We start from the raw sequence: 27586 nt of genomic DNA, 5'->3' as shown, positions 1-27586 counted from the left end.
TTGGTCAAAACCATTTAACAAGTCTCTAGGAAGTTCCAAACTTTCCCACATCTTCCTGTCTTCTTCTGAGCCTTCCAAACTGTCCCAACCTCTGCCCATTACCCAGTTCTAAAGTCACTTCCACATTTTCAGGTATCTTTATAGCAGTGCCCCATTCCTGGTACCAATTCTCTGTATTAGTCTGTGTTTACACTGCTATAAAGAACTACCTGAGAACGGGTAATTTATGAAGAAAGGAGGTTTAACTGACTCACAGTTTCACAGGCTTAACAGGAAGCATAACTGGGAGGCCTCAGGAAACACAATCATGGCGGAAGATGAAGGGGAAGCAAGGCATGTCTTACCATAGCAGCAAGAGGGAGAGAGAAAGGGGAAGTGTCACTTTTAAACCATCAGATCTTGTGGGAACTCATTATCACAAGAACAGCATGGGGGAAACCATCCCCATGATCCAATTGCCTTCCACCAGGCTCCTCATGCAACACTGAGGATTACAATTTGAGATGAAATTTTGGTGCGGACACAGAGCCAAACCATATCACATGCCATGCCAGCCCCTGACTTACAGCAGAGGGCAAAATAAACTTCTGTTGAAGCCACTGGTTTTTGTTGTTGTTTTCTTTACTTTTTGTCTTGTTGTTTGCAGTGAAAACTATTTCTGATATAATACACCAGAAATATTTTTAACACATATTAAAATAAATGCAAAAGTATTAACATTTTAAAAGGTTCATTCACATATCACCAACCATGTTACACTGGTTGCCCCCAGTGCAATGCTACTTTAGGAAACACTTACATCATGTGTCTTAGTCTATTTGGACGCTATAACAAAATACCATAGACTGGGTGGCTTAGACAATGAACATTTCTCACAGCTCTGGACACTGGGAAGTCCAAGATCAGGGTACTAGCAGATTTGGTGTCTGCTGAGAGTGCTCTTCTGGTTTGCAGACTATCTTCTTGTTGCATCCTCATTCAGTGGAGAGAAACCTATCCTGTCTTTTTCTCCTTTTGCAAGAGCAAAATCTATCATGGGGGTTCCATCTCCATGACATCATCTAACCTTAACCAGCTCCCATGGGCCCCATCTCCAAATACCACCCCATGGGGGATTAGGGCTTCTATATACATATTTTGAGAGGAAACAAGCATTCAGTCCACAGCAAATGAAAAAAAATCTTGAAAATGATCAAGTATCCCATAAATCTCAGACCTCCACCCTCCAGGTGCCCTTGGTCTTGCCCAGCCTCCAACACATACAAGGTGCTGGGTCATGCTTTTCATGACCAAAGAAAGGGGACAAAGGTGCATTGAAAATGCAAAGTACAAAGCCACGGCCCCTCTGCCCCCTCCCAGGAATAACAGAACTCTCCATGTCCATGCTTGGATGTGACAGTAATCTCAGAATTGACACTGAAGGTGCTACTTAAGGTTCATATCCAAAGTCAACAATCATGAGTTCCAGTCATGGGTTCCAGTCATGGGCTCTGTTATTGCCTCCCTGTGTGACCTTGGACAAGGTTGTTGATCCAACTGAAATTAAAGCATTCAATTCAATTCTCCAAATATTTCCTTGTTGCTTAGTGTGTGCCTGGTGCTCATGCTTTGTGCTGGGATTCTTGCCCTTAAGGAGAGTAGAGTTTAACTCGGGGTAGACTTGGCCCTGAGAAGATCAGGAAGAGAGGAGCTGGACACAGGCCATTGCTCAGAGGGCAGCATCTTCATCTGGGTTCCTGGAGACAAGGGTTCAGCATCAGAATTTACTTGACAGGTGATCTTGGGAAGTGCTTGTCTTAACCTCTCCATGAGTTAATGCTCTAATCTATAAAACTGGCATAATAAAAGTGCTGTCCCCCAATCAGGGTGCTGTGAGTTCTTAAGAATCAGTGCACTGGAGCCACACAGGAGACCCAGTTGTGTGCAACCCCTCCCAATTCCCTGTCAATAATCTCATATTGATAGCTTGAGATCCACCATGGTGGGAAGTGGGATTATTTACACCATGGAGGAGAAATACTGTGGATGGGAGTTCTATCTCCAAGGGCTGTTTGTCAGACATTTCCCAGCATGCCACTGATTTCACACAGGACAGTACCTAGCACAAGGCGCTTCACACATAGCCAGCAATGATTGTTAGAAGGCAGTGAGGGCCACGTGGAGCCCAGGCCCGGGGCACACAGGACATACTTAGCCCCAAGGATGCATTTTCCACTCCAGGTCATGGTTCAATCCCTTCATCCACCTTGAATCTCAGAACTTCTGCTGGCCTACAAGGGCACAGTCAAAGGGCAAGATAACCGTACTCCTATGCAAAAGTAGATGAATTCATTGCTGTCTGCCAGACACCAGAGTTTCTGTTCAAAAGTAACGACGCTTCCAAGCAGATGGTAGCTTTTGTTCCTGCTTTTGCTGGCCATTAAAACTAGTCACCATTCTCCAGCCCTATGATATTGAAAAAGTCACTTGGCCACTCTGTGCCTCAGTTTCCTCATCTGTAAAATGGGAATGAAAGTAGCATCACAAAAGTGCCGGGCATGTAGTCAGTGTTGAGGAAAGTTTACTACTGTTCATATAATGTGACGTTGACATCAACGGGGCCCTCACATCTGTGCCCATGTCACCATTTATATTTCACCTCCACACACAGCTGCTCAGCAACATATCAGATAAGACCTTTGCACCCATTTGAAAGATGCACAGTGGGAGGCGCTGAAATTATGTAGCTCTAGCTGAGGTTACAGTAAAGATTAGAACTTCTCCATACAGCCCAAGTCCAGACCCTGCAAGGGGGAGATTTTAGGTCATCTGTAAAAGGATGGGGAAGGATCTTCTGCAGTGAGGGACCAGCATTAGCAAAGGCCCAGGGTTGGAAAGCGTGTGGCTCCATTAGTCTATCAATGTTCCTCGAGTGTCTGCTTTGTGCTGGGTCACACACCAGGTAGGAGGAAGGAGACTTGGCCCCAGCTTCATGGTGCTAACAGAGGTATGGTTGATGTGCCTGCGTATGAACCTAGGCGTGGACTCCCAGAGAGGGGACTGTATCCTATTCATGTTTATATCCCAGGGCATAGGCTTGTAGCTCTAGCGAGGTCGCAGTAAGGTCAGTGTGGGAGCTGGGAGGCCTCAGCCCCTTGCACACCTCACCCCACCACCTGGTCCTAACTAGTCACCCACACTCGGGCTGTCTCTGCCCTGACCGCCATTTCAGTCCCTTCCCAGCTGAGAGGCTGCTGGCCCCAAATAACTTCTGCATCCCCTCCTCCCAGCAGGAGCTTCAGAAGTCAGTGGCTCGGACAATTGCACTTGCTTTTCTCTTTCCAAAGAGGGATCTGCTTTGGGAGCCCTTTGAAAGGGCTGTGATTACATCTTCATTTGTGGGTAATGGGATTAGCACAAGGATGGCAGAGCCTCCCCGCAGCAGTGGGGATTGTCAGGTCTGCCCGAGAGGGCCAGGGAAGAGGAGCTCTCTGTTCCTCTGAGCTGCCAGGCGCTGGCCACTGCCCCGGAGGAGGGGGCACCCCAGTGCTGGGACACAGGGACTGGAAAATGGAACTAGCTCCATTCCAGTGCACAGAGGCCAGCTGTCTCACCCAGCCCCAACTCCTCAGCTGATGGACAGGATCTCCCTGAAGAGGAGATATGAGTGTGTGTGTGTGTGTGTGTGTGTGTGTGTGTGTGTGTGTGTGGTGGGGATAAGGTGGGGGGTCTTTTCGTGCCTTTAATCCCCAGCTATCCCCTTCTGGAGGGACTCAGACAGGTGAAGTCACCAGGTTCGGGTCTCCCACAGGTTACATCCAATTTCCTGCTTCCCATGTGCCAAGCCCAGTAGTACTTACAGGGACCCACACCACAGTCACCCTTCTTTGAAACCTGGCTTCTGGTGCAGGCTTGGTGCCGAGGACTCTACGCATGCCATTCATACAATGCTCACCACACACCTGTGAGGCCGTGACCGACCTCATCCCCATCTGGCATAGGAGGGACTCAGACCTGGGGCCGACTGACGCTGGAATGTGGGATCTACTGGCCACCTGGAGGCCCCACAGCAGGGCTCGGTTTAATGCCCACTAACACATTGTGTGTTTACTTGATACTTTCTTTAAGCTTTCTCACTTTTAAAATTTTTAATTTATTATTTTTCCAACTTTTTATTTTGAAAAATTTCAAGCCTACTAAAGAGTTGCATGAATAACACAGCGAACATTTATATGGCCTTTCTTTAGAGTCTAGATGCACTGGATGTTAACGCTGATATTTGCTTTTTTCTCTGTCTCACCCTCTTCTCTCTCTCTTTGCATGTGTATATATATGTGTATATGTATTTATATGTATGTGTATATATACAGATATGTGCACAGTTGATTACAGCAGTGCCCCCTTATCCATAGGGGATATGTTCCAAGACCCCCAGTGGCTACGTGAAACCTCAGATAGTACCGAATCCTATATATACTATGTTTTATTCCTATACATATCTAGGATAAAGTTTAATTTATAAATTAGGTGCACTAAGAGTTTAACAACTAATAAGAAGATAGAACAGTTATAACAATCTACTATAATAAAAGTTATGTGAACGCTTTCTCCCTCTCTCAAAGTGTCTTCTTGTACTGCTCTCCCCCTTCTTCTTGTGATGATGTGAGTTGGTAACACGCCTGCGTGATGAGATGAAGGGAGGTTAGGCTGCTGTTACCTTCTGATGATGCTTTGGAAGAAGGAACACCTGCTTTGGGTGATCCTGTATCATAAAGACAGGATGATGTCGATGGCTGGATGTCAGGAGCAGACGATCTCTGTGACTAACAGTACGTAGTATCTCCAGTGTGGACCCACTGGACAAAGGGATGATTCATGTCCTGGCAGGATGGTGTGGGACAGCATGAGATTTCATCACGGCCACTCAGAATATTGCAAAATTTAAAATTTATCAATTGTTTATTTCTGGAATTTTCCATTTCATATTTTCAGACCTTGTTTGACTGAGACTAACAGAAACCATGAGAGCGAAACCATGGATAAGGGGCGACTGGTGTGTGTGTGTGTGCGCGCACATGTGGGCACGTGTGCAAAAGCGCACACATATTTTTTGTGAACCATTTGTAGACAAGTATGAGACAAACATGAGTTGTCTCCTAAATACTTCAGCACATATCTCCTAGCACAAGGGCATTCTTCTACATAACCACAGCAATGATTCTCACACCCAGAAAATTTAAAATCCATTCAATTCTATCATGTACTTCTTAATCTACATTCAAATTTCCTCCCAGTTAACCCAATCATACTCTTTAGATCCTTTTTCTTTGCAAATTCCAGCAATCATCAAGGATCACTCATTGCACTTACTGATCATTTCTCCAAGATGTGATCTGAAGAACTGAAAGCAGACTGAATGAGGGGACTCTCCCTTCCTGCTTGGCTGCAGAATGCTGTGTCAGCACGCAGAGAACATCAACACTCTCATGTGGGGCGCCTTCTAGGAACCCTGCCCACTGAGATTGCTTCCAAAAATCAGTACAAAGCTAGATCTCCTCCAGATCCCGTCCTTGGGCAGTCACACTGGATTTGGTCTCCTGGATTGTTAAATGACGGTGTGGTCAGGGCTTCCATACCCCCTTTCCCTTCCCTTTCGGCTGCAAAATCATTGTGATTCATGAATGTTTCATGTGACTGACCCCCAAACAGCAGCGAGTGCAGCACTGCAGTTACCCAGGCCAGGGGTGGACTCCGGCTCTACCACACGCAAGCTGGGCAGCCGAGGGGGCGAGTCACAGCTTCTGTGAGCCCTGGTTTTCTCATCTATGAAAAGGAAATAATCATATCTGCTGAGCAATGTTACTGGCATGTAATTGAAACTCGAAGGGAGCAACCCCTTTCCCTTCCCCTCACCATCTGGCCCCAATTTTGTTCAGAGCAGCAGTGAGCCTGTTCCTGTGGAACAATCATGATTGGCCTGGGCGACTCTGGCCATCCCGTCCATCTTTGCTGGAGGTCCACTTCTCCAGCCGCCCTTGCAGCCAGGATTGGCCATGTGGCCAAACTAACAAGCAAGGCTTAAAGGAAAGTCTTCTGAGACAGCTGCCTCTGGTTCCCTTTTTCCTTTGCTGATATAAGAAGAAAGCACTTCAGGAAACTCGCCACCCCCTCCTTCCTTCCTGCCTCCCGCCTTTGAACTTGGTTGTGATGCCTGGAGCTGTAGCAGCCATTTGTGACCATAAAGCAACAACCATTAGGACAAAAAGCCATCTGGTGGAGTATGACAGAAGAGAAAGCTGGAAATAGCCTGGTTCCATGATGCCAATGCTCAGCTGTTGCCCCAGTCCTGAACTGCCATCTGCCACTTCTCCTCGTGGAAGAGGAGTCCATCTTTATCGCTTAAGCTACTGTTACGCTTTATAGCTTAAGATACTGTTGAAAGCATTCCTAATTGATACAACTTCCAAGAAACTTCTAGATGCAATGGAAAATATAAGGCATATGGGACCAAACACAACTGGGTTCAAAGGTAAGAGGCAGCCCCTAATTAGGTGCATGGACCAGGATGCATTACTTCACCTCTCTGAGTCGAAATGTCTCAGCTACCAAAATAAAAAACAAACAAAAACAAAAACCCACAAACAAACAAAAATCTCCAGGAAATGCTGTGAGGCTAGAAAGACATACTTATATGATTATGTCTATTCAATTATTCATTCAACAAGTATTTGCTGAGCACTGTTGTGTACTGTTCATTCAATGAACATTTTAATGAGCACCTAGTATGCTCTAAGTACTGTTTTAACATTGCAGGTATCACAACGAAATAGACCAAATCTTCTCTCTCATAAGCTTACATTCTGAAGTTCCCTTTGAGTTTCAATTACATGCCAGTAGCATTGCTCATCAGATATGATTATTTCCATTTTCATAGTTGAGAAAACCAGGGCTCACAGAAGCTGTGACTCGCCCACATGGCTGCCCAGCTTCCATGTGGTGGAGCTGGAGTCCACCCCTGGTCTGGGTAACTGCAGTGCTGCACTCGCTGCTGCTTGAGGATCGATCATGTGAAATAGTCATGAATCACCGTGATTTTGCAGTTGTAAAATGCTCTGGAGGAAGGACAATGCTGTTTCCAACTCCTTTTGGAAATGTGTTTCTCATTTTGATCCCATTTTATCAGATACATAAACTGGATTATCTGGAGAACGAACAGGCTCAGTGGTGCATTTTCAGCTAATAACCTTTGCTTTCAGCTTCTCAGACCTAGTGGAATTGCCATGCCAAGAGGGCCCTGGCCCGGACTGGCACAGAGCACGCCCTTCTGTTTATTTGTATCACCCTCTTCTTTTTCAGCTACTCGAGGAGCCTTAGAAACCCAAGTGCAGTCTTTCCCTCCGCAATCAGGGAGAGCAGGAAATAATTCCACTTTTTAGAATGTCTACTAATGTGGTGGCCTATGTCTCAACCCACTTCATTTTATCCTCAGGTCAACTCTGGGAAGCAGGGGTCATTCACCTTATTTTATAAATGGAGAAACTGAGGCTTGAGGGGCAACTTGCTGAAGATGACCCAGCCCAGACCTGTTTGTGTTTGTTTAGCGTCTGTCTCCCAGCATGACTGCGAGATCAGAAGCCATGTCTGTTTTATTTACTACTAAATCCCCTTAGTTCGGGGTCTGGCGCCTAATATAATAAATGTTTGTAGGATTGAAATGTGGAGTCTAGAACCTCTTGCTGCCTGAGGGTCTATGTGGCTACAATTCTAAAATTCTCCAACTTGTTTGCCTTAGCCTGAGAGGGGATGTGCGAGGCATAAGACAGAAAGAAGAAAGGAGACTCACATTGAGAATAAATGCAAAGCCCAGGCTAACATCGGACACGCAAGGCTTCCCCGTCATGGCCCAGGACTGCTTCATCAGAGCCTCTGCAGGTTTCCATCACACACATTAACCAAGGCTTGGCATCATTTTCTAAGACAGAAAGAGGTGGGCAAAGCGTACAAGGGTAGCACTGAGTGAGTTGCAAGCTCCTGGGTAAACCCCTTTCCTTTTCTGGACCTCTGGTTCCCCATCAGTAAAGTGGAGGAAGTTGAATTCCTAGACTCAATCTTCTCTCTACTCAAACATCCTTCCCAGAGCTGAGATTGCTGGACTCGTTTCCAGGCACCATAAAGTAAAAATGCAAAACTCTAGCTTAAGACACCTTCATCTTATCTATTTGCAAAGAGTAGGTAGCTTAACAAACTAATAGGAATCAACCTCATCAATGTACAGATGAGAATAAAACTATGCGTACGTGATGCTTACTAGGTATTTCATCACCTCCGTTTAACAGATGAGCAAACTGAAGCGCAAAGAAGATGCATTTGCATAAGTTGTCACAGCTACTAAGCGGCGGAGGCTGACTCTCAGTGTCCATGCACCTAACTACCTTACCGTACCACCTTCCAGTTTGTTCTCTGCTACATGCTGGACCTGGGGCCAAGATTTTACACAAAATATTTCTCACTGATCTCTCCAGATGGGAAGACATTGCTGTCATCTCTGTTTTCAAAGAAAGTGAGTAGTGCTCACACAGGAGGCAAAAATGGCTGAGCTAGAACCAGGGTTTCCCCTGGGAGTTTGACACTCATGTCCCTAAAGATGTCATTAAGCAGGCCAACTTGGGTGGCAATCCCTGCTCTTCCACTCAGCTCTGCGACAGCAGGAAGCTTGCTAAACCTCTCTGATATTAAGCTTTTCCATTCTGGGAAAACTCCCCCAGGGCTGTGTAATGCAACTCTTTGAGCTTAGGCTCTGAGATAAAAGAGAAACTGCCCTGGATTATTCTTTCCAGTGAGGCTGATGCGCTGAGGGATGGAGGAATACACACATTGGCTCCAGGTACTTTTCCCTTCAGACTCTTCCCTCTCCAGTCCTTGAAGTGAGTGGAGCTGGGACTGGGCACCTCTGTTCAGGCCACTGTTTGTGAGGACAGAGGGGTCACTACCAACCTGCCAAGGATTTAAGGGCAAAAGCCTCCTACATCCCTGACTAAATTCATGTTCACTCCCCACACTGCGGGGTGTGCGGAAGGCCACCACTGTTGTACTGTGGTACCCAGCATCTCCTGATCCAACCCAAAACACTCAGAGAGGACTGATACTGGAGGACGTGGACATAGGGAATATTCACTCCCATTTGCAGAGGGCTTCCCATGCTTTGCTTGTATTGCATCATCCTTTGAGCTCAGTAGTATTCTTCCTGCTTTACAGATGAGGGCATGGGCCCGAGAGATCATTTCCATATCACATGGTGGTGCTAGGATGAAGGTCATCAGTTATCCTGTCTTTAGATCATGGTTGTCACTGCCAAACTGCAGGCAATAGCTGGTGGATGTGCCTGGGCTGCGAACCTAGGTGTGGACTCCCAGAGAGGGGACTGTGTCCGATTCATGTTTATATCCCAGGGTACAGGCTTGGCACACAGTAGGTGCTCACTGAGCGCTCACTGGATGGATAAATGATGAATGCACAAATGAGAGCCCCAGCTCCTAAGGTAGTGACTAGCTGCTCACCACGCCCACTTCCTCTTCCCCTGGGCACCCAGCTAGACTGCATTTTCCAGCCTCCCTTGCAGTTCTGGCCAATGGACTATGGGGAGGCATTAAGTGCACCATTTCTAAGGTTGGTCGGTGAAAATCTTCCGTGTGATCCTCCACTTTTTCTTTTCCCACATTGTGTAGCCTTATGCACAGGATCCATCTAAGAACTCAGAGACTCAAGGGAAGGTGGAACCACAGGTGGAAGGAGCCTTGATGCCTGAGTCACTGCCTGGAGGAAGGCCACTGGTAAGTACCTGCATGGAGCTGTTACTTGGCCAAGAAATACACTTCCACAGCATGAAGCAATGAGTGACGAGGTTGTTGGCAACAGCATTAGGCTACCTTCACTAATCTTGGAGTTGGAAGAAAAAATTTCTCCTAGTATCATAGGCTCTCAGGGTTGGAAAGTACCTTGGACATCCCAGAAATAAAGTTTCCACCCAGTGCAGGAATCCCTTTATGACATGTCTGCCTACAATTCTTCCAACCAGATTTACACACCTCCAGTGACGGGGAGCTCACTTTCCCAGAAGCTTCTTTCTCTATCTTTGGACTGCCCTGGCTGCAGGAGGAGACTTCCTTACCCTGAGCCTTGCCTCCTCACATCTTTCTCATCTTGATCTGCCTCTTAGCCCCTCAGAGATGAAGCTGGCTTTTCCTTCTCACATGTAGTTGAAGGCAGAGATCAAGTCCTCCTGAGTGACTTCTCATTCCTTTAGTCAACAGGTATGTGCTGAGCCCCTCCCACCTGCCAGCATCCCCCCCACTGCCAGGCCAAGCCTTGCCAGCTATTCACTGTTACCCCCTGGGCATGGTTTTAGGTCCTGCTCCATTTTTTATCATTTCCTGTAGATGTGAGCGATCAGATTCTCTTCAGCTCTGTTCCTGGCATTGGCCTTCGTGGGAAAACTCACCTTAATAAATAGCATTTCCCAAATGACCACCTGTGCAGTGCTAAGTATCCTTTCTCCCATTTCATCCTCACAGTGATTCAGTGGAGTGTGCATCGTTTTACTCCCATTTTACAGAAGGGGAAACTGAGGTCAGAGAGGTGATGTGACTTGCCCAGAGGACCACAACTAGAAAATGGCAGCAGGGAGTTTAAATCGAGGTGCATCTGACACCAGAGCACAGGCCCAGCCTTTCAGGTGGTGGGGAGAGGCCCCAGGCCCTAGACAGCTGGGCATGAGGGACCGGGCTCAGCCACACTGGCCTTCAAGTGGTAGCATGGGCTCACCTCTAGAAGCAGCTGCCCAGCGCACATTGGCCCTCTTTGATTAGCCTGGCCACACCATTGGAGGCTACGGCTCCTCCCTGGGTATGTGGGAGCTGGGGTTACATGAGGAACGCCAAGGTCTGTGCTGTGGCTGTTTCTTGTGTCCAAATTGGTTAAGGAAGCCCAGAGTCTGGTGGAGCCAATTGCTTGGCCGACCTCTGCTGACCAGAAAGTTGCTAACATATGTCCCTAATCCGACCCACCAGCCACTTGCCAGGTGCTAGAATTCGGGAGCTGCTCCAAGGCCCTGCTGATTTTGGACAGGAGGACCCCAACTTACTGGGGCTGTGTACCTACTGCGTGCCAGGGGCTAACACACCAGACTTTATTTTATCCTCACAACAGGCCAGAGAGGTAGATCGTAATCTATCTACTTTCCAGGTGAGGAAACTGAGGCTCAGAAAAGTAAAGTCACTGGTGTACACAGACAGGGGCAGGAGAAACGGGATCTGTCCACACTCAGGCAGATCTGGGTTTGAATTCCGTGTTCATTTCATGCTGTGATTCTCCAGTCTTCTGGCTAGGAGAGATTTATTTATAAATGGTTTCTCCTTCGCCCCTCACACCTCATCCACCACGTGGGCAGGGCCCCAGTGCACTATGAGCTTCGTGAGAGCAAGGATTGACCCAGTTAACACCTCTGTTCCTGTGACATGCAGGAGAGGCTCAGGTAACGGTGAGTGAATGGGACTCCAGGGGTTTGATGCAGGGAAAGCACGGGAGCGGGAGGCCTGGGGAACACAGGAAGGAAGGAAGCAGAAGAGTAAAAGGGCAAAACATAAGGAGAAAGTCAACCAGAAGCAAGTCTGGAAGGGAAATCGGTCACAATAAAAGCAAGAGACAGAGGAAGAAGACCTTTAGCAAAGGGAAGGCCTTAGCCTCAGCAGGAGAATGTAGAGAGCTTCCCAGCTACATTCCAGCGACGTAATGAGCTCACTGTCGCTGGAGATGTGCAAGCAGGGCTGCACGTACCTGTGTCTGGGGAGTCCTAGGGTGGATTCATGCATCCAGGAATGGCTGCACAGGCTTCTCCTACCTCTGAGAGACCGAGGTTCTGATCAGATAACCACTCCCCTCTTATACACAAGCACATTTAGAGAGCTCAATTCTCATCTCTCATGCACTTTGAAAGGAGGTAGAAAGTGCCAGAATTATAGGCTCAAAGCTGCTCTTCTGAGTTGTAGGTGCTCTGTCCTTGACCCTGAAGTCTCTCAAACCCAGGCAGAGGAGAGCTGTGAACCTGATGAAGGCTACTTAGTGCCAGCAGAGGATCAGGTCTGCATTCCTCCAACTGAACTCAGAGCTGACTGTAGTTGGTCCGGGCCCTCCCCACCCCTCTCCCTCCACATCCCATCAAAGCCCCACATAGGCCTAAGTTCAGCCCCAGCCAGTCCCTCCCCTCCTCTTCACTCTCTGAATAGCCACGGTGGCGGCTGCACAGTGACTATTTTAGTGCTTTGCTTGATGCCACGTCCAGCATAACTCTGTTAGCACCGTGAAGCTGGCGCCAAGTCTGCTTCCTCCTGCCTGGTGTGTGACCCGGCACAGAGCAGACGCTCGAGGAACATTGGTAGACTAATGGAGCCACACACTTTCCAGCCCTAGGCCCTCACTCATGCTGGCCCCTCACAGCAGAATACCCTTCCCCATCCTTTTACAGACGACCTAAAATCTCCCCGATGCAGGGTCTGGACTTGGGCTGGATAGAGAAGTTCTAATAATAGCTCACATCGGCAAAAGGTTTGTTACGTGTTCTTTGTTCCTCAAGGTAACCTTAGGAGGTAGGTACATCACTATCCCAGTTTATAGGTGAGGAAACTGAGGCAGAGAGTCACAGAGGGGTGTTTGAGGACCAGAGTGCTGGCTTCTGAAGCTACACCTCAAACTGTAGACTGTGGGTTCTCAGGAAAAGAACACTCAACTGGAAAGCAGAGAATGGTTTCCTGTAGCTGTAGGTTTCTCTCCCCCATCCCCTGGCTCCTCTCAGAAAGGGGACAGATCTCCTTGGGGTCTGGCAAGATGCTTAGCACACAGGAGGTACACAGAGAAAAGTTGGGTAATGAATCAGTTCCCTTTAGGCAGCACTTTACTGGACTGTCTTTTCTTCAAGTGACCCACTAGTATGAAGGATCCTGAATATTGTGTGGCTTCCCTCGCCCCGTCGATCAAACAATGGAGTATCAGGAGCTGACTTTGTGGTGGCTTGCAAATCAAGGATGGGACAAATGTATTCAGTGTCAACCAAACCCTCCGCTGATGTGAGACCTTCCTCGAGCGGAAGAGCCTGGGACTGGGGTCTGAGGTGCCCAGTTTGCATTCCCATTGGCTGTCACAGTGGGTCCCCCAGGAAGTGAGCAGGATGGTTCTTAGGGTATGTTCCAGGGCTCCACACCTATGGGGTGGGCGAGGAGGGAGCAGGCTGAGCAGAGGAAGGCATGGAACTGCAGTGCAGTTTCCCCAGGGTTTTGTATCAGGGATGACCCTTCAGAGCCATCCCAGCTGGGACTAGAGGCCAGGCCTTGATGCCCAGCTGGACAGGCCATGGATGGAGCTGACCCTGGAAAGGGGCGTGAGTTTGCATAACTCCAGCCCAAGTACAGGTTCAGTTTTCTTCAGCCAAAAAAATCCCCAAAGAGGGCCAACAGCTGAGTTCCATCTTCCAACAGCTGGGGAATCTGGGCAGCGCATCACCAGCCCTTGCCATCATGTTGGGTCATTTTCCAGCATGGCGACCTCAGCCACATCGCCAGCCTCTCCCAGCTTTCGTTTCCTCAACTGCAAAATGGACTAACCAGTGGTTCTCAACTTTTTTGATCTCAGGATTCCTTTGTACTTTTTTTTTTTTTTTTTCTCTCTGAAACAGTGTCTCGCTCTGTTGTCCGGGCTAGAGTGCAGTGGTGTGATCTTGGCTCACTGCAACCTCCACCTCCCAGGTTCAAGCGATTCTCCCACCTCAGCCTCCTGAGTAGCTGGGATCACAGGTGCCCACCACTATGCCCAACTAATTTTTGTATTTTTAGTAGAGATGGGGTTTCACCATGTTGGCCAGGTTGGTCTTGAACTCCCGACCTCAAGTGATCCGCCCACCTCAGCCTCCCAAAGTGCTGGGATTACCGGTGTGAGCCACTGCACCTGGCCTCGTTTGTACTCTTAAAAATTATTGAGGACCCCTAAATTGCTTTTGCTTATGTACTAAATCTACCAGCACTAGAAATTAAAACTAAAAATATTTTTAAATATTAATTCACTTAAAAACCATAATAACAAAACTTGTATGCGTTAACACAAATAACTTGTTTTTATTAAAAAAAAAATCGGTGAGAAGAGTGGCATTGTCTTATATTTTTGCAAATTTTTTATCTTCTGGTTTACTAGAGGATTGTTGAATTCTCCTATCTCCTTCTGCAATCTGTTGTGAGATAGATTGTTTGGTTGAAGTATATAAAGAAAATCTGGCCTCACAGATATGTTGTTGGATGCAGGACAAGTATTTTTATAGGCTTTTCAGATAATTTCTTGATACCACAAAAAACTTGACAAGCAGTAGTATAGTATTTTAATGTGGAACCTGAAAACACATCAGTGAACATTTTGTTCTTTGTCACATTAAAATCCATTAGTCTGTCTAGCACTTTGGAGGTATCTTTTGCCTATGTGAGATTCTGAAACATCAGCATTAGTCCTTGGAAAATGCTGGTTCACTGACTTACAAGATCTGCCAAATGTTCACACACTGAATTTTACAACATCAAAAGGAAGCACATTCGCTAATACTATCATCAAAAAGTCTTTAAATTTGGAGAACAAGCTCACAATGATGGATACAAGCTTTCTAAAATTCTAAGTTTTGTTAAAAGTGCAAATCTCGGCCTGGCACGGTGGCTCACGCCTGTAATCCCAGCACTTTGGGAGGCTGAGGTGGGTGGATCATGAGGTCAAGGGATCAAGACCAACCTGGCCAACATAATGAAACCCCGTCTCTAGTAAAAACACCAAAATTAGCTGGGTGTGATGGTGTGTGTCTGTAGTCCCAGCTACTCAGGAGGCTGAGGCAGGAGAATCGCTTGAACCTAGGAGGCGGAGGTTGCAGTGAGCCGAGATTGTGCCACGGTACTCTGGCCTGTGTGACAGAGTGAGACTCTGTCTCAAAAAAAAAAGGCTCAGATCTCTCTGCAGATAAACACTATTAGCTGTTCACCTTGAAGCAACAGACTCACTTTGTTCATTCTCAAAAAATGTCTACCGAGAGATACCATCTTCTGTACCAAAAATAGACAAGAGAATGCTGTCAATATTGGTGTACTGTAATGTGAATCTATACTGGTGAAAACAATTTTTTGTTCCCCTTATTAAAAACTTAGTGTCCTTTTCTCAAAAAAAAAAATTGTCTACCAAAAACACAAGTCCGAATAACCATGGTTAGCCTGTCAATCATTCTTTCAAATAAAAAGGGTACTCCGTGAAGAAGGCAGTGAGTTTCGCTTACCACTCAAATGACTGCACGACTGTGTTTCTTCCATCTGCAGTGGAAGTGCTTTATGCAGGCTTCCCATTTTGTCACACAGAATGCTGAAAAGACATTCTCAAAGATTGAGATTTGACAATCCTTAACGAATTTTATTGCTTCATTGAAGATTATGTGTTTATGTTTTACTGACTGCATGATGGTGAACAATACCGTAACTATTAGCATAGTATAGCATAGCATAGCATAGCATAGCATAGCATAGCATAGCATAGCATAGCATAGCATAGCATGGCATGGCATGGCATGGCATGGCGTGGCGTGGCATGGCATGGCATGGCATGGCATGGCATAGCATAGTTTGGGGCCAGCATTTTGATTCGAGTTAAGCCTTAGCGGTTTTCCCCACTGTTGGATTTGTATCATCAGTGATTAGTCAACAGAGTAAAATATAACTTAGTGTTAGTAGTATTAGTATTAATACTAACATTACGATACAATATTAATATTACTATCAACACAAGATTTTACCTCATAGACCTCAGAGAATGTCCAGGGGTCCATGGGCCATTTGCTGAGAATAATTGATATTAAAAAAGGGTGTGGTATTTGAAGTCAGATAGACCTGAACTAAAAACCCAGGTCCTACTAGCTGTGTGGTATTGAACAATTTGCTTACACTCACTAGGTCTCAGCTTCCTCATTCATAAAATGGAGATTATGCTGCCTGCCTCACGGAGTCCTCTTGAGACTCAAATGAAATGGTATCTACGAAAGTGCCTGGTTCAATGCCTGGCACATGGCACATGCTTCATTAATATGCCCTTTCCTCCTCTTATGGACTTTTTTGTGTCCCCCGGCCAATTCACATATTGAATCCTCAACCCTAATGAGACTATACTTGGAGATGGGGCCTTTATGGAGATAATAAATGATAGGTGAGGTCACAAGGGTGGGACCTTAATCCGATAGAACTGGTGTCCTTATGAGAAGAGAGACACCAGGTTTCTCTCTCTCTCCCTTTCTCTCCCCCCGCCCTGCCCACTGTCCCACCCCCCACAACACTACGAAAGCACAGAGGAAAGGACACAGTGAGATGACAGCCATCTATAAGCCAGGAAGAGAGCCCTCACCAGAAACCAAATTTGCTGCCACCTGATCTCAAACTTTCCAACCTCCAGAACGGTGAGATAATAGATTTCTGTTGTTTAAGCCACCTAGTCCTTGGTATTTTGTCATGGCAGCTCGGATAGATGAATGCACCCTGCCCCCACACTCTTCTCCTTTCAAAGTGCTTGTGCTGTTGGTTTATATATTAATAGTTTGAAAGGCCTCTGTTTGCTGGAAAGAGCTGGGCATGAGCAAATAATATTGGCATTAGAAACTCTGTGCCCAGACAGCCTTTGGGCAAATCTCCCAGCTTCAACGATCATGCCTTTCGGGAGGTTTCTGATGAGAACATTCCGAGATGCCAGTGGAAAATCCTGATGCTGGCTAATTGAGAACCATACTGGGAAGAAAGCAATTTTCTAATAGATTTTCTAAAACAATAAACAGTGGAGAGAATGTCAGGATAGTATTTTTAACTACCACAAGCCAGAAAAAATCAGCTTCAAGTCCTAAACCATCACTCAGACTTACTATGACAGATCTGTCCCATGGAAACACCAACAGCCCATCTGATGGTAATAACGGTGGTCGTGACGATGGTGGTGGTGATGACGAAAAGGATGATAATGATGAAGATGATGCTGATGTCATGATGATCATGATCATGACAATCGATAATGATGAAGATGATGCTGATTGTCATGATGATCATGGCAATCGATGATGTCAATAATAGAAATGATGGTGATGACAATGGTGGTGGTAATGGTGATGATTGTGACGATGACGGTTATGGTTACAGTTATGATGTTGATGTTGGTGATGATGGTGGTGGTGATGATGATGGTGATGATAATGATTATGATGATGGTGTTGGCAATGGTGATGATGGTGATGATAATGACAATGATAAGGATGGTAATGAAAATGATAATGCTAATGCTAATTGTGATGATAATGGAAACCATGGCAATGATGATGGTAACTATCGTGATAATGATGATGATGATAATGATGATAGTAATGGTAATGATTGTGACGATCATGGCGGTGGTAACGGTGATGATGGTGATGGTGATAGCTACATTAGTGATGTTGGTAATGGTGGTGGTGATGATGATGGTGATGCTAATGATTATGATGATGATGATGGTAATGGTGATGATGGTGATGGTGATAGTTACAGTAGTGATGTTGGTAATGATAGTGGTGGTGACGACGGTGATGCTAATGATTATGATGATGATGGTGGTGGTAATGGTGATGATGGTAATGTTGGTGATGATCGTGGCTGTGATGGTGATGGTTATGATGGGAATGTTGGTGAAGATCGTGGCTGTGATGGTGATGGTGGTGATGATGATGACAATGATAAGGATGGTAATGAAAATGATAATGCTGATGCTAACTGTGATGGTAGTGGAAATCATGGCAGTGACAATGATGGTAATTACAGTGATGATACTGATGATGATGATGGTGTCAATAAAACAGCCAGTTTTTTGAACATCATATGCAAGGAGCTTTGCTAAGTGCTTTAATGAGCACTCATTTAATGCCATTAAATGTATCATCTCATTTAATGACAGGCAATACCTTCAAAGTAGGTAAAATATGCCCATTTTACAGGTAAGGAAACTGAGCGCAGAGAGGCTGAGTAACTTGACTAAGGGCACACAGCTGGTACATGGCTGAGATGTATTCTTTTCCATCCATCCCAATAGTAATTTCTTTTCTTTTCCTTATTTTGTTATTGCAGCTATTCCTAGGCTGACAATAGACTGAGATCAGGGTTTAAGTTTGTAGGAGAAGAAAGCTGAGCAACTTGCCCCAAAGTCACACAGCTTGTGAGTGGCCATGCCAGGATGTGTCCTCCAAAGATCTGTGCAGCTTTTGGAGTTTCAACTGATGTGCAGGTGTAAGGCCTTATTGGAAGTGCATGCCTGATGGTTTGACCTCCAGAATCCAAGAAACTCCAGAGTCCTCTCCCAGGTGGCCAGGAGAGGGAAACAGGTTGATGGACACTGCAGACACTGAGCAAGGCATTTGGGCCCCATCCTGCCCTGTACTTAGCTCCTGCCACTCACTCCCTACACCCCATCCACTCCAAAGCCGGCTTTCTGAGACAGTCTCAGCTCTCCAGCTCCCTGAGGGTCCACGGCACTTGCTGGGAACCATTGGTGAAGCAGAGAGAACTCACTTTTCAGGCTCACAGCACTGAATCGGGTTTTTTGTTTTGCCCCAACTTGCTCTGTGACCCTGCACATGGTACCCCATCTCCCAAAGCCTCAGTTTCCCACCTGCAAGAATAACCACTTCCCAGATTCAAGCAATAATCCACATGGGCCTGCCTCAGGCAGAATGTGGCAGGAGACGGATGCTTGGTCAATGGAGCTTTTATCCTCCCTTTTCTACAAAATAAAGTTGTATGGGTGAGCTACATATATTTTGGCTCAAGAAAGGCTCACTACCCACAAGATGGAAAAACAAACGTTCGGTGTTGAAGAAAACTGCGTGTACCAGGGACCACATTGGCTTCCCTGTCTAAAAGCACAACGCAAGCCCAGTGATTACCCATGCCACTGGCCCCAGAAATGTTGATTGACCAAAGCACAATTTCATTAGTGGTTTTAGAGATATACTCACGCCAAAGTGGCTAATGCAGACTTTTCTAGCACATAGCCTTACGAATTAAGCTCCTCTTGGAATCTGAGATTTAGCAGTGGATGTGGTCAACTCCCCTCACCTACGCCAACCCCGCATTTATCCCTGGATTTCCACTTATAAATCCACTTTGGGATTTGGCCTCTCTATCTGTCCATCTCCTGCACGCTGGGCTGACAGAATTCATTAGGGAATCCACGGGCTGCCCACTATGGAGCAGGGGCCGGTAACAAGGGGCCGGGGTGGGTGATCACAGGGCCAATCACTGAGCAGGGCCCTGAGTGCACCCGGCTCCTAGTTCTGGCATTAATCATGATTACCCAGGGAACCCCTGGGGATGGATAGGAAGCCTCAAACTGTTGTTTCAAGGCCCACCAAGCCCAAGCAAGGCACTTTTGAGGAAGGGTGGCTCTGGGCCTGGCGGAGCAGCTTTAAGGCCCAGGTATCCATTCTCACCGCCACCCTAGTCCTCTGATCCACACTGCAGTGTCAGGGCTCAGAGTGGTGTGGGTTCTTACTCGAAGTCAGGGTCTCACTGTGACGCTTTAGCGCATGGGCTCTGGAGCCAAACTGCTTGGATTCAAATCCCAGCTCCACCCTTCCTTGATGACATGGGGCTATCTGCTTTATCATTCAGGGCCTCAGTTTCCCCCTCTGTAAAATGGTAATAATGAGGATAGCTTTGTGACAGGGCTGCCGTGAGAACTAGAGGAGCTGTAAGGGCTCAGAACCGGGCATACACTGGTAAGTGTTCCGCTGCGACTTCACATCATCCTCTATCGACACAGTGTAAGAATGGCATTCAAAAGTTCCTCAGACATAAACAACATGGTTTTATTTATCTATTTAGAGACTGGGGTTGCTGGGGTTTCGCTGTGATGCCCAGGCTGGAGTGCAGAGGTGCGATCAAGAATCACTGCAGCCTTGAACCCCCTGGGCCCAGCTGGTCCTCCCACCTCAGCCTCCCAAGTAGCTGGGACCACAGGTACGCCTGCCATGCCTGGCAAATTTTTTTTTTTTTTTTTTTTTAGAGACAAGGTCTCCCTATGTTGCCCAGGCTGGTCTTGAACTCCTGGGCTCAAGTGATCCTCCTGCCTCAGCCAACCAAGGTGCTGGGATTACGGGTGTAAGCAACCAGCCTGGTTTTAATTTTTATTGAGGTAAAACTCACCTAGCATAAAAGTAACCATTCTAAAGTGTACAATTCAATGGCATTTAGTACATTAAACTCACATGCTATGCAGCCATCACCACTATTTAGTTCCAACACATTTCCATCACCCCAAAGGGAAACCCCATACCTATTCGCCAGTCACTTTCCTTCTTCCCTCTCCCAAGTCCCTGTAAACCACTCATCAGCTGTCTTCCACTATGGATTTTCTTGGACAAATTCTGGAAATTTCATATGAATGGAATCATGCAATGTTTACCCATTTGTGTCTGCCTTCTTTCCCTTAGCACAATATCTTCAAGGTTCACCCACACTGTAGATCCTCATTTTTTTATGTCTGAATAATATTCCATTGCCTTAATAGACTACATTTTATTTATCCATTCATCAGTGATGGACATCTGTTTCTACCTCTTGGCAGTAGAGAGTAGCATTGCTATGGACATTCACGTGCAAGTTTTCGTGTTGACATCGCTTTTCCTTTCTCTTGGGCATATACCTAGGAGTGGAATTGCTGGGTCATATGGTAGCTTTATGTGTAAGTTTTTAAGAAATCACCAAACTGTTTTTTACAGCAGATGCACCATTTTACATTCCCACCAACAACACCCAAGGGTTCTGATCTCTCCACATTCTCACCAACATTTATTTTCCATTTTTAAAATTAGCCAGCCTGGTGGTTGTGAATGGATAACAACATGGTTTTCAAATGAAGGTAGGATGTGACTTTTTTGTAACACAAGCATTGACCCCACAGCGTTGACCCTCTGTAAGCTCAACAAGGAGACTCAAGGAACAGACTGTGGCCAGGATTTCCTCTCTCTGGGCCTCAGTTTTCCCCTCTGTAACATGACCCGGTTGGTTTTGATTAGTGTGTCTCAAATGAGCTCTCTGGAAATGGCAGAGAGAAGAGGACGGAGATATCTTGCCACTGAAATGGAATAGTGCAGATCCTTTCTGGAGTCCCAGGGGAGGAAAAGATGAGTCATTCAGATAGATTCCCCTTCATCTGGAGTTTCTCATCTACTCCGAGGTGAGGGGTCTGGCCCTGATGATCAAGTCAGCTCTTTGGGGCTGTTATATCAATGTCTTAAGAAAGAGTACCCGGCCCTCCCAGCCATCAAAAAGCTCTCAAGCCAGATCAGAAACATAGGAAATCTCCTTCCACGCAGCATTCAGCCTTCTCCAACCCAACCCTGAGTGGGGCCCCAGAGACCCTGAGGCCACATGGAACATTCCAGGACCCCTCTGTTACTCAGGAGGAAATGCATTCCCACATCAACTGCTTGTCTATTTCTCACTGCGTGTTTTGCTCACCCTCTGCTCAGAACACCCTCCCCCGCTTCTCTATTCAACCAGCTCCTGCAGCTCTGTGTATGCCCAGCACAGCACTGCTTCCTACAGGAAGCCTTCTCTGATGCTCCGCCTGGAGTTAGGGGGTCCTACCCATGTGCCCCCTCTGTCACAGCACTCTTTACCTTGTTTCGAGCACTTTCTACTTAACTAGCCTCCTCCACTGGGCTGTGAGGTCCTTGAGCAGGCACTGTGGGACCCACGTAGGGGTCCGGCACTCATCAAGGCCACAGCTGGGATAAAGAGCCCATCAGGGATGACCCGTGTCTGGGCTGCCAGAAGCCTTGCGAGTTGTTTTCCTCCAGGAGCCAGCTCCTTCCTGTTGCAAGCGGTCTTGGTGGAGGGTCAGTCATGGTGTCTGACCCTTTTTGAGCACATGACCCAAGCTGAACGAATTCTGTGCTCCCTGCTGAGAACTTCAGGCATGAGAGAGCGACACCAGGCGGGATAAGAGTTGACACCAAGGTTTTCTGATCTCCCCTTACTTCCTGCTCTGTAGAAACCCAGAGCTACCCAATTCCTGTCTTCCTGCAGCCTGATGGTTCAACTTCTCTTGACTTTTGTGAGCTACTCCAAATCTTGGAAATAGCGCCTTTTGTTGCATGAGGTTTGCTGGCGTCCATCTGTGTTGCTTTTCCCCAGAAAACTCTGGCAGATACAGCATATCCATTATTCTTTAGTGCACAGATCACACAGATTGGTGAACAAATGAGCTGACTCTTGAGGGGAGAGATGGCCAATCAGATGGGAAGGACTGAAGAAAGAAAAGCCCTCACAGCAGAGGGATCTGCAATGGCAAAGATCCCTGGCAAGGATGCACACGAGGCTGCAATGCTGGGTTGAAGGTGGGTGGGAGGGGTCCTAACTGCAGAACCATCTTCTATCATCTTGGCCTCCTTTAGTTTGTGTGTATTGTGGTTGAATACAAAACAGAGAGAAGATGTCCAAACCTATGCAGCAGCTTATGGAAGTGGAGAAGGTGGCAGGGAAATGAGACTTTAAGTGATGCTCCCCACCCCAAGACATTGATGGGGAACCTGGGGTGCAGGACAAGGCCCCAGAGCAAGCTGAGGTCCCTGCTGGGAAATCAAAGGTCCAGTTAAGCCAACAGCATGCTGCATCAGACAGAGCTGTCTTACTTCAATAAAAATGGATAATCTCTTCCTTAAGCCTTTCAAAAGGTGGGCTCCGGCCGGGCGCGGTGGCTCACGCCCGTAATCCCAGCACTTTGGGAGGCCGAGGCGGGCGGATCACGAGGTCAGGAGATCGAGACCATCCCGGCTAACACGGTGAAACCCCGTCTCTACTAAAAATACAAAAAATTAGCCGGGCGTAGTGGCGGGCGCCTGTAGTCCCAGCTACTCGGGAGGCTGAGGCAGGAGAATGGCGTGAACCCGGGAGGCGGAGATTGCAGTGAGCCGAGATCCCGCCACTGCACTCCAGCCTGGGCGACAGAGCGAGACTCCGTCTCAAAAAAAAAAAAAAAAAAAAAAAAGGTGCGCTCCAGATGGATTACGGGCCTAAATGTGAATGCTAAAATAATAAAGCCAATCAAAAAAGCATAAGGAGATATCTTTGTGCCTAAAAAGGAATGACTCTACTCCAAAAGACCCTAAGAGCACAAGACAGAAGGAGACAAATATGAAGAATTGGACTGCGTGAAAACTAAGGATTCCCGTCCACCCAGGGCACCGCCGGCCACGGCAGCAGACAGAGGACTCACGGGATGCTGCTGCAAAGAGTCAAACTGGTGAGTGGCGACTACTTGGAATATACACGGAACTCTTACCAAACAATAAGAAAAACATCAAAGATCTGATAGAAAAATAGCCACAGGTTGTGAAAGGCAGAAGAGAGGTCTAAACGGTTAACAAGGATAACGAGATGTTCGAACTCCTCAGCAAAAAGGACTGGTAGTTTTTAAAGCAGCAGCGTTGCTTTAGACTTACTATGAGAAAGGCAAATTTCCATAAGTCGATGAAGTAACATTGCTTGGAATGTCTTGGAGAGCTGTGCACTCTCGTGTACTGTAAACCTGAGAGTCTTTCTGAAGGCGTGCTGGTCAGTCCGGACGTAAGTTAGGCCTGGGTACAGCTCACATCCCGGAGACCCCACTCTGGGCTGTGGAGGTATGGATGCCAGGGAAGTTGTCACATAGGCCCCTAGAAGAGCAGAACATGGATACCCAAGTAGCATTGGTCATGGGAGCAGAGGACTGGGGACATCCTGGCATCCACCGCTCACTAGGAGACACTGGAGTTCAATGCAGTGAGCTCCAGGCATAGCACACCATGGGGTGGGACAGGAAGCAAGGGGAACAAAGGTGCCCAGTCCACAGTAAGTGCTCAGCAAACATTATTACCAACTCTTGCAAACATGGCATCCGTTCACAGCAAGGCAAGGCTTACTCACAGGAAACTGCTTGCCCTCACTCCTCTAGGAATGCTTAATACCCAGGCAGTGTCTCTGGGACCTTGTGGACACCAAGTCCTTTATTCATCTACCTTTTTGCCGTCCCACCAAAGTCCTGTGACAGGAAATGCAGCAGGTCTAATCCTGAGGTCAGAGTGGCCCTCTGCGATGGCTGTTCTTTCCGGCCCACCCCCTCTGCCTCCCTCCCATTCTTGGGACCCTGATTAGCCTGAGTATTGGATGACCGCTGCTCTTCTTCCCCTGCCTCGCAAGGGTTAATCAGCCTTCCTGCGGGGCGGCAGGGCGGCTAGGAAGGAGGCAGCAGGGCGTCCTGGCGGCAGGCGGCTTTCATTACTTTGATGGGATACATGTGCTCGGCTTTATCTCCGGCCCTTTCTCCGTAATTCAGAGCTTGAACGTCTCAGCTGTCGGCCGATCTGCAGACAATTGCTCGGGGTAATACTATCCGGAAAAAGCTGATAAAATGCAGATGTGACGAGGCCTCTGAAATTTGCGGTTTGCTAAGTGGTTTGCTGCGATGCTTGCCCCTGGCCAGGGTGGCTTCCCTTCGAGGCTGGGAACCAGGGGGGTGGGAGTTGCATTTTTTTTTTTTAAGTGAAAGGTTGAATAGAGGAAGTGAGTGTAGATTTTTTCCCTCTAATTAGGAAGATGGGCAAATAGAAAGTAGAGGGGAAGGGGACAATACCGGAGGACGTGGCAGTTCAGGCCTCCCCTTGGGTCCCCATCTAACCAGCCTCTTCGGGGGGGCACCTCCAGAAATGGGCACCCTGGGATTCCTCTGTGCAGCCTGGTGCAGGGGGTGGTGCAGGGGGTGCTTGGAAGGAGGCCACTCACTGACTGTGTGACCCTGGGCCAGTCACTCAATCTCTTCCTCAATGACTCAACCAAAAGACCAAATGACTCACAATCTCAGTTACTTACCAGGTGCGCTGCACCCAGCAGGATGCCTGAACACAGTAGGTGCTCGATGAATGACGCAGCAGTTTCCTTTACCTCACTTGGGACCCCACATGACCCTAGAGAGTAAAGCTGCATGACACTGATGTAAACACAATGAGTCCCAGTTGGGTGGTAGGCAAGGGGCCTGCCAGGCTGTTAGTCCCAAAAATCATGACTTCCCAGGCCAAAGTCACCGGGCTGGATCCCCTGAGGAAACAAGCATCACTGTGTTTTCCTGGGCCAAAGAAGCATTGGGGCAGAGCTCCTCCACTTTACTGTGTGCCCGAATCACCAGGGATCATTCCAAATGCAGATTCCCATTCAGGAGGGCCGGGCAGCCTATGAACATGCATCTCTCACAAGGTCCCAGAGATGCTGAGGCCTCAAGCGGGGTGAAGACCCCGAGTCATCAGGCTGGGGAGGAGGCTTTGGGCATACCTAGGCCTTGCCCTTTCAGTCCCAGGAGAACCCTGCTGACCAGAGAGGACAGGCGGCATGGTTGGTGTTGCTCAGGACGTTGGGGACAGAGCCAGACTGGAAGGGTGACTGCACCCTGAGCTTGGTGCTTTTCCCACAGGGCCTCTGGTGACCAACCTTCCATAGCCAGCCCTGGTTTCAGACCCGTGGGTGAATCCACATGACAGCATCCCAGAGAGCTCGCCTCATCACGCCCTTCCCAACTTGCTTTTACGACAAAGGAAAACTATTAATAGATGAATTGATGCTGTTACGTGCTGCCATTGAGGCCACATAACACAGTTCTCAAAACAGCCACGGGCCTGACCCGCACCTATCTATGGACCTCATGCCCCAGTCTGTGTGCAAACATCTCAAATAATCAATAAGCCGTGAAGACAGCTTGTGAAAACATGGCTTCAGTTTCAGGGATGCCTTTTCGCTCTCTTATATGTTTACGCTAAGGTAAAAGTAGCCAGCACATTGAGCTTCTCCTGCCGTCCTTACCTCTCATCCTCGAAAATATCCCTGGGAGGTGACTTGATCACGCCCATTTTCAGATGAGGGAAACTGAGGCCCAGAAGGTTAAGTCACTTGCTCTAAGGCTCCTCGCTGGCAGGATCAGAGCTGGAGTTCAAACCCAAACGTGTTTAGGAGTATCCAGCTCCAAAGCACACACAGCTGGGTTGGTGCCACGCTGTCTCCGGACAAACAGGACCCCAGGGTCGGTGCGAGGACGCAGAGTGCTAAGGCAGCCGAATGCAAAATTTAGGGCAGGGCCTGGGTTTTTCCCTTGTAAAGGCCAGTCTGCAATTAGAGGGGCCTTTTGCAGTTCTTGCCTTTCAAAGAAAGAGGGCGTCTCTCCCCCTGCTGGGGTGTGGGCAGAGCTGGTAGCAATTTTCCCACAATGTGTAAATTAGTCAATCTCCGAGTCTGTAAACGGGGGCCTTTGAAGCGATCTTAATGAAGCACTCCATTAGGGCTTAGTGATGGCTGCCTCCAGCATTACTGGACCCCGCGCCTTTTGATGTCTTGGGGCCACGGGTTGGAGGCTCAACTTATCTAAATGTCCCGGCAGGCTTAAAAAAAAAAAAAAAAAAGGCAAAAAGCTCCCTTAGAGAAGCTGAAAAATTTTTAATGAAAAAAGTTAGTCCTGGCCTGACTGATGTTGGCACTTCAAAGCCAGTGCAGACTAAATTGCTGTAGACTGCTTAATTCAAAAGTGCTCCCTCGCGGGTGACAGTCCAATGGTGACAAAATACAATTGGCAACAGGAGACGGGCAAGATCAAAGGCTGGCTATTGTAATAGTTTTGTTCCATGAAGAATTGCTCATTGTCAGGAGTTTTTAAGCCTTTTTTTTCTCTCTCCCTCTTTCTCTCTCTTTTTTTTTTTTTTTTTTTTTGGCCCCAGAGCCATCCCGGGATTCTCTGGTTCAGAATCAGTGTACATAAATACTTGTAATTACATCCTTCTGACAATACATTTCAGTTCGCAGAGGTTGCGGCTGCCTTCCCGTCTCTCTCAAGGTTCATGGAGCTGATGGTTGGTTGGATTGTAAAAATCATTTCTGTGTTTTTGTTAGAAAAGATCTTTCGAGGCACTTGGAGGGCGAATTAGAGCTGGGATGTGCTCATCTTCTTGAGGACTATTTTAGGATTTGCTTCAGATTAAACTGCTGCCTGCAGAGGCCCTTGAGGGGTGATGGGGTGGAGGGAGCATCAGATGACTGGTCGTGGGGTTCTGGCTCTTCTTTATGACTTTACCTGGTTTCTCCTGGCCTCAATTTCCCCAGTTATAACCTGGGGCTCATTTACTCACACCACAAGTATTTATTGAGCTCTGACCTGGGTGAATGCATGCCTTGCCAGGGTCATTTGTAAGGCCGTTGGGAGAAAGTGGGCATGAAAGCCCTCTGCGATCTGGACACTGCCTCCTTCACTCCGCTCCGTGGTTTGGAGGGGCTGTTTCCGGGATCTGTGGGTACTGGGATCTGTGGGTTACCTGGCTTCTTTGACCACCATCATTCCCTAGGAACACAGAACCCAGAATGAGATATTCTGGTGAGCTCTTCACAAGCCTCTACTTGGAGGGAGGGAAGAGATGAAAGGAAAGCGTCTCCCCAGGCCTAGAATCCAGTCCTCACTTCTCTTCCCG

The 27586-nt window shown here is 47.5% G+C and overlaps 1 protein-coding gene and 1 long non-coding RNA gene across 9 annotated transcripts in view, besides 7 other annotated features; both read right to left on the bottom strand.

Moving 5' to 3' along the window:
* Positions 1–630: 630 nt before the first annotated feature.
* Positions 631–26245, bottom strand: LOC101928279 (uncharacterized). Its single transcript, NR_125892.1, has 3 exons — positions 25938–26245; positions 23552–23764; positions 631–2495 (listed from the first exon to the last, which is right to left on the bottom strand). It is a non-coding gene; the product is annotated as an uncharacterized LOC101928279 (long non-coding RNA).
* Positions 6275–7474: an enhancer, noted in NCBI's record as "CDK7 strongly-dependent group 2 enhancer chr4:4782258-4783457 (GRCh37/hg19 assembly coordinates)". NCBI's record gives its function as "activates an origin of replication core promoter dependent on BRD2, BRD4, P300/CBP, MED14 and CDK7 cofactors, with strong dependence on CDK7, by STARR-seq in HCT116 cells {active_cell/tissue: HCT116}" and the evidence as "EXISTENCE:reporter gene assay evidence [ECO:0000049][PMID:35650434]".
* Positions 15430–27586, bottom strand: part of LOC124900165 (uncharacterized) — a 230445-nt gene continuing 218288 nt past the window's right edge. For all 8 annotated transcript variants that reach the window (XM_047416490.1, XM_047416488.1, XM_047416489.1 and 5 more), the window contains one exon: positions 15430–27459. In XM_047416490.1, coding sequence (XP_047272446.1) covers positions 17077–17988 — 912 coding nt within the window. In that variant the 5' untranslated portion in view covers positions 17989–27459 and the 3' untranslated portion in view covers positions 15430–17076. The remainder of the gene's footprint in view (positions 27460–27586) is intronic.
* Positions 23961–24498: an enhancer, noted in NCBI's record as "NANOG-H3K27ac-H3K4me1 hESC enhancer chr4:4765234-4765771 (GRCh37/hg19 assembly coordinates)". NCBI's record gives its function as "activates a minimal SCP1, AML or CMV promoter by ChIP-STARR-seq in naive and primed H9 embryonic stem cells {active_cell/tissue: H9 hESC(naive and primed)}" and the evidence as "EXISTENCE:reporter gene assay evidence [ECO:0000049][PMID:30033119]".
* Positions 23961–25489: a biological region, named in NCBI's record as "P300/CBP strongly-dependent group 1 enhancer GRCh37_chr4:4764243-4765442".
* Positions 24245–24384: an enhancer, noted in NCBI's record as "active region_21233". NCBI's record gives its function as "activates an Ori minimal core promoter by ATAC-STARR-seq in GM12878 lymphoblastoid cells {active_cell/tissue: GM12878}" and the evidence as "EXISTENCE:reporter gene assay evidence [ECO:0000049][PMID:35858748]".
* Positions 24290–25489: an enhancer, noted in NCBI's record as "P300/CBP strongly-dependent group 1 enhancer chr4:4764243-4765442 (GRCh37/hg19 assembly coordinates)". NCBI's record gives its function as "activates an origin of replication core promoter dependent on BRD2, BRD4, P300/CBP, MED14 and CDK7 cofactors, with strong dependence on P300/CBP, by STARR-seq in HCT116 cells {active_cell/tissue: HCT116}" and the evidence as "EXISTENCE:reporter gene assay evidence [ECO:0000049][PMID:35650434]".
* Positions 24499–25035: an enhancer, noted in NCBI's record as "NANOG-H3K27ac-H3K4me1 hESC enhancer chr4:4764697-4765233 (GRCh37/hg19 assembly coordinates)". NCBI's record gives its function as "activates a minimal SCP1, AML or CMV promoter by ChIP-STARR-seq in primed H9 embryonic stem cells {active_cell/tissue: H9 hESC(primed)}" and the evidence as "EXISTENCE:reporter gene assay evidence [ECO:0000049][PMID:30033119]".
* Positions 24555–24864: an enhancer, noted in NCBI's record as "active region_21232". NCBI's record gives its function as "activates an Ori minimal core promoter by ATAC-STARR-seq in GM12878 lymphoblastoid cells {active_cell/tissue: GM12878}" and the evidence as "EXISTENCE:reporter gene assay evidence [ECO:0000049][PMID:35858748]".

The sequence above is a fragment of the Homo sapiens genome, chromosome 4, assembly GCF_000001405.40.
Source record: "Homo sapiens chromosome 4, GRCh38.p14 Primary Assembly".
NCBI classification, from domain to species: Eukaryota; Metazoa; Chordata; class Mammalia; order Primates; family Hominidae; genus Homo; species Homo sapiens.
The sequence above is the reverse complement of the archived record's forward strand: the minus strand, read 5'-3'. Positions and strand labels throughout refer to the sequence as shown.